At 47.1% G+C, this 5,919-nt stretch overlaps 1 long non-coding RNA gene across 1 annotated transcript; it reads left to right on the top strand.

Annotated features, from left to right (window-relative positions):
• Positions 1-2,639: 2,639 nt before the first annotated feature.
• LOC124904521 (uncharacterized) lies at positions 2,640-5,384 on the top strand. The gene is made up of 2 exons (XR_007066891.1): positions 2,640-2,727; positions 5,058-5,384. It is a non-coding gene; the product is annotated as an uncharacterized LOC124904521 (long non-coding RNA).
• Positions 5,385-5,919: the final 535 nt, after the last annotated feature.

Raw genomic sequence — 5,919 nt, 5'->3', positions numbered from 1 at the left:
CGGGCCACCTCTCTCCCTGTGGACGTGGAGTGGCCCGCACAGAAGGATGGAAGGGAGGGGTTCCTGGAACAGAGCCCATCACTTGCTGCAGAGGCATCCCCTGAACTGGCCCGCTGTGGGGTTCCTTCCTTTCCCAGGGGCTATTATTGGTATTTCCCACTCATCTTCAAGACTGAAAAGGAATCTTTGAAAACCACAAGAAGGGGAGGGGGCGTGGAGAGGAGCTCCCTAAGCCAACTCCTTCTGGAAGTCACTGATCTCCCAACAGGAAAGCTGGTCTTTCCTGTTTAGACATCGTGTCTGGCAAGAGGAAATCAAGACCAAAGTAACAATAATAATTACATAAACCTATGATATGTTAACATCACTAGTATCAAAAATGGTTCTGTTTGCATAGAGCCTGCCAGGCACACCAGGGCACACAGCCTGATGGTGGGCTGCTGTGGTCAGAGCTGTGAAATTTAGAAGGCTTCACTAGGGATGGGGAGACCCTTGAAGACTCTCCAGGACACACACGCCTGCGGTAACCTTCAGGATCAGGGGAACGTGACTTCAGGCAGAAGGAGAAAGCCGCATGAAATAGAATGAGTGTGGGCTTTGCTCTCTGCCCAGGTTCAAATCGCAGCCCCAGCTCCTGACAGCTGTTTGACTTTGAACTAGCTGCTCGAATTCTCTGATACTAGCCTCCTTGATACCAAGAGGGAGGTCATACCCAGCTCATATTGAAGCTTTGTGGGATGAGAAACTAGCAGCATGTCTGACACATATGACCCTACCCTTGGACGTTTATGAGCCATGCCGAGCCAATGCAAAGAAATACGTAAGCCAAAGGCACAAGCTGTATTTAAGATTGAGAAGAGGAAGGTTGGGACAAGTGACAAAATGACTTAGTTTCCAATGGGAGAAAACATCTCATATAGGGGCCATTTGATTCTCTGGCTTTGCCCAGGGAATCCCTCAGGCCTTCAGTCAGTGCCAGCAGGAAGGCATCTGCCTGGGGTGGCCTGCAGTGCCAGCCTCACACTGCCCCACGCGGGTGTGTGCCCAATGCAGCTTCACTCAGACGTGTTGGCTGAGAGCTGGCTCCATACCAGGCAGCATGCTAGGCATATGTCTGTATATTCCAAAGGAAGGAGGAAAAGAGAATGTGAATGGTTCCAGGGAATCCAGCGCTGGCTGGGAGGAACAATCAGCTATTCCTTATCTGTGGAGAGCGGTCATTTCACTAGCATTTCAGCTAACAGTACCCCCGAGGGACTGCTAGTTAAGTACAAGAAGGCAGCCCCTGGGTGTTAGGGTTGTGCACATACAGTCTGTTTGATTTTTTTTTTTCAATTCTTTTAGCATGTTTCAACTGAAATCATGTTTATAGAATGAACCAATAAAGAAGGAAACTGAGGCACACTGGGAGGAAGAGACTGCCCCAAATTCACACAGCAAGTGATTTGCAAATCCAAGAGTGAACCTAGAGAACTTGTCAATGCCCGGGTAATTCAGGCGAATGTCTCCTGTCCATTCATTCTGCAGGGCTGCCTTGGCTGAAACTGCCTTTGCAAAAATCACAACTGAGAAAATTATGACAGTGAAAGATACCAGACCTAACTGACACCATCTTGCTTCCAACCTCTAAACGGTCCTTGTTCATTCCTGGACATAGTCAGAACCAGCTTTGGGAAGGAATTTAGTTTATAGTTTAAATAATAGCCCTTCCTAAAAGGCTAAACTATTCTTATAAAACAAATGACAGGCCACCAGCCACCAAGTCAGGAAGAGAAGGGCTGGAATTCTAAATATTACCAGCCATTATTCCAGAGGTGATAAGATTTGCAACTTCCCCAGTTACTTTTGGAGGTAACATCACTATTGTGAATCTAAGATTGGCCTTTTGAGATGAGTTTTCAGGTGCATTTCTAACAACTGGATGGCCCCACCTGGACCTGCTAACCAGTTCTGTGGCCCCCACCCAGGAACTGACTCAGCAGAAGAGAACAGCTTTGACGCTCTGTCATTTCATTGCGGAGCCAACCAATCAATACTCCCAATTCACTAGCCCCCTACCCACCAAATTATCCTTAAAAACTCTGATCCCCGAGTTTTTGGGGAAACTGATTTGAGTAATAATAAAACTCCATTCTCCTGCACAGCCAGCTCTGCATAAATTACCCTTTCTCTATTGCAATTCCCCTGTCTTGATTAATCGGCTCTGTTTAGGCAATGGATAAGGTGAACCTGTTGGGCAGTTACATGGCTTTTTAATCTAACACTTGTTTTTATTTAACTGTGTCAGATATCTTCATGAGACAATTAAGACATTTTAAAAAATGTGTTTACTGAACCTAAGAAACTGCGAAACAAGATATCTAAACAAAAAGCTCATTGTTGAACTATACACTTTTAATACACTGCTGATGAACTAAGAGCCTTTTTAAGGACATTGAATAAACAAGCAGTTGAGTTTAGAGCAGACATTCATCCAGGCGCACGCTCCTCATTTTCAGGCTGCCAGTGGACACGAAGCGTCCACACCCCCACCCACATCCACAAATACTCGCTGCCCCCACAGGACAAACATGTCACAATGGCCCTGCACAGCCCATGACTGTGCAGTCATTTGCTGCTTTCTCAAGCCCACAGAAAGCAAAATATCTCTTTCTAAAGAAAGAAGTGACCGCCAAGCATGGAGTGTTGGGAGTCTTGCCGCTCCTGCAGCTGTGGTCACCACTCCAGGTGCTGTCTGTCCCCCAGGATCTTGGTCACCTCTGGTCACTCAGGCCCCTCCCCACCACCCCCTGACCCCCCCATCTCCCATACACACCCTCCCAGACCCTGCAAACCAACAGCTTCATTCAACACATCAGGGGCTCCACCACAGCCAGGAAGTTTGCTCTCCCTTCACTTCTATTTTGGGAACTTGGACTCAGCCCTGGAATTTTACAAGCCTAGGAGGAATTGGCTGGGCCTTAGCACTTTCCTTTATCCCTGCCTCCTCTCCCCACAAAGCCCCTTTTCCTCTGGATCCCCAGGACGGAATGCACAGCACCCTTGGGCAGCAGGTGGGCTGCAGAAAGGGGACAGGCGGGAGGAGCAAGGCTGCAGCCCCAAGCTTTCCAGGGAGAGTCTAAAAATTTTGTGATTTTCTGCAGCAGAAGTGTAAGGTCTGTAATCTCCTCTGCTAGAATATCTGGGAAGATTCCCTTAGCCAATATTAGGGCAAAATAAACTGTCTTCTTGGTCGGGAGTGGTGGCTCACTCCTGTAATCCCAACACTTTGGGAGGCCGAGGCAGGTGGATCACTTGAGGTCAGGAGTTCGAGACCAGCCTGGCCAACATGGTGAAACCCCGTCTCTACTAAAAATACAAAAATTAGCCAGGCACGGTGGCAGGCGCCTGTCATCCCAGCTACTCTGGAGGCTGAGGAAGAAGAATCACTTGAACCCGGGAGGCAGAGATTGCAGTGAGGTGAGATGGTGCCACTGCACTCCAGCCTGGGCGACAGAACAAGATTCTGTCTCAAAAAAATAATAAATAAATAAACGACCTTCCATAGAGAGAGGGCTCTTGACTGTAGAAGTAAATTGTACCATGATTACTTGTTTATTACCCGCTCCCCAACTAGTGTGTGGTTTCCATTGGCCCTGCGATGTTTGTCTAACTCACTGCTCTGTGGCCAGCACAAGGAGCAGAGTACCTGGACTATGGATTAAGCTCACAGTGGGTGCTCAATAAATGTTGAGTGAACGAATGGATGGATGAAGACATGGGTGGACATAGAGCACTCCTATGTCTCCATCTCACAGCTGTATGTCCTCAGACATAGGGCACAAAGGAAATGAATGGGAATGGATCTATGCAAAGCACCCCCTCTACCAAGACTTGAGGGGTAAAAGTCTAGCTCCTACTGACCAAAACCCCAAGCACACCATCTTCACGTGCTTGCTTTAGTTCCGTAAATCATGTCAAGGCAGGATGAATTGAATCAAGAGGGGCTTAAGCTAGACATTTAGAAGAATTTGTGGTCACTCCTCTAACGTGGCTGCTGTGTGGGTGACACACATTTACCAGTGACGGGTCCCTACAACAACCTGAGGGAAGTCTAATGGCAGAATCTTTGTGTTAGGAGAAGCACCACTAACCAAGTTTATAGAAATCAAGTATTTCCAGCATCCCAGATTCAGACTGACTTCTCTGCTTGGCAAGAATCACAGAATTTTAGAGCTAAGAATAAGGTTTTTCACCTTCAGCACTATTGACATCTGGGCTGGATAATTCTTTGACGTTGAGGGCATCCTAAGCATTGCAGCATGTTTAACAGCGTATCTAGCCTCTACCTACTAGATGCCAGAAGCACCCTCTTCCCCTCAGTTGTGACAACCAAAAAATGTCTCCAGATATCACTAAATGTTTTCTAGGGGAATAAAACTGCCCCTGGTTAAAAACCACTGAGTTAGAGAGAATTTAAAGAACTTTACTTTACAGGTGGGGAAAGGGAGGGCTGGAGAGATGGAGTGAGTTGCCAAATGCCCTAGTAAGCAGCCCAGGACCGGAACTCAGGGGGCCAGAAAAAGCACCTCTCCTTTGTGTGATAGTACCTAGGACATGGTAGATGTTAGAGAAACGTCTGTTGTCTAAATGAATGCAACAGCACACTCACCAGACCTGCAGGGTTCGTTCTTGGGAAATAGGATGAGGACATTTCTCCTGCCTTATGGATGGTTGGGGCAAGATGAGAAAGACAGGGCTTTCCCCTTAATGGAGACACCATCACTCTCCTGAGGACTGTCCCTCACTTGAGATTACAGGAGTGGGTTGAAGAGTGAATCAAACCAGCTCTAGGCCCATGTATCTATCCCTTTGCTCAGAGTCTCAGAGGTGTTGCTTCAGTTAGACTAAACCTGGACAGCTCCAGAATAATAATTCTTAGAAGAATTGTGTTTTCTCAACACACCCTCCTGAGATCGCCCCCTTCCCTGTTTTATTGTGAACCTTTCCTATTTTTCTACCCCATGCCAGGTGTTTCTAGGTGTGGCAAATATTTCTGTTTCTTTCCCATCATGTAGAGGTGTTGCCGGGGCACTCACAGGAACTGCATTTCCCAGGTTCCCTTGCACCTCAGTAGGGCCATGGAAGGCTTCTCAGCTGTGGCAAATGCATGGAAGTAACAACTGGCACCTTCAGCCCAAAGGTAACATGGAGATGTCTCTTCCCCTTGGTGCCTCCCTCTACCCACTGGCAGAATGCAGAGAACACCAAGGACTTACAGAAGGCAGAGCCTCATGATGGAAGGAGCCTGGATCCCTGAATGACCATCTGGAAGGCTGACTGACCAGGAACATCCTCTTGGGACTGTGAAGTATGCAAGAAATAAATTTTCATTGTGCTAAGGCCCTGGGAGTTCAGGGTGTGTCTGTTATAGCAGCTAGCATTACCTTAACTAACACAGTAGGTCACTGGGAAAACACAACTCACAGAGGGGATTTTGGATCTCAGATGATCTTGCTTAGGGGACAGTAACTGTCAATGCACCAGATGAAGGTGACTGTCAGGCCTGACACAGAGCTGCAGCAGCTCTCCCAGATAACAAGTTTCCTGCACCTAAAGTGAGCTCCAAAGCAATTTCTGAGTGTATAATTCCAAGCAAGGAGACTTGTGAACAAGTCACTCAGTGGCATGCCCTTGTTTGGGGGAAATAAACCACCAATCCTGGCAATACTATCCTCAAAGGAGCCCCTTCTCCAATTTTCTCTATTCTATTCCAGAGGCACCCAAAAGCCAATTTTTGGCCAATTTCTTTATTGTAAAAATCTGTCAGTTGGAATGTACAGCCTTTTACACTATTAAACAGAAAAAGAATGACCTAGGCTTGTCTTTGTCTATTTCAGCCTCCCAAGAAGCTGGGACTACAGGCTAATTTTTGTATTT

The sequence above is a fragment of the Homo sapiens genome, chromosome 1, assembly GCF_000001405.40.
Source record: "Homo sapiens chromosome 1, GRCh38.p14 Primary Assembly".
Classification (NCBI taxonomy): domain Eukaryota; kingdom Metazoa; phylum Chordata; class Mammalia; order Primates; family Hominidae; genus Homo; species Homo sapiens.
The sequence above is the reverse complement of the archived record's forward strand: the minus strand, read 5'-3'. Positions and strand labels throughout refer to the sequence as shown.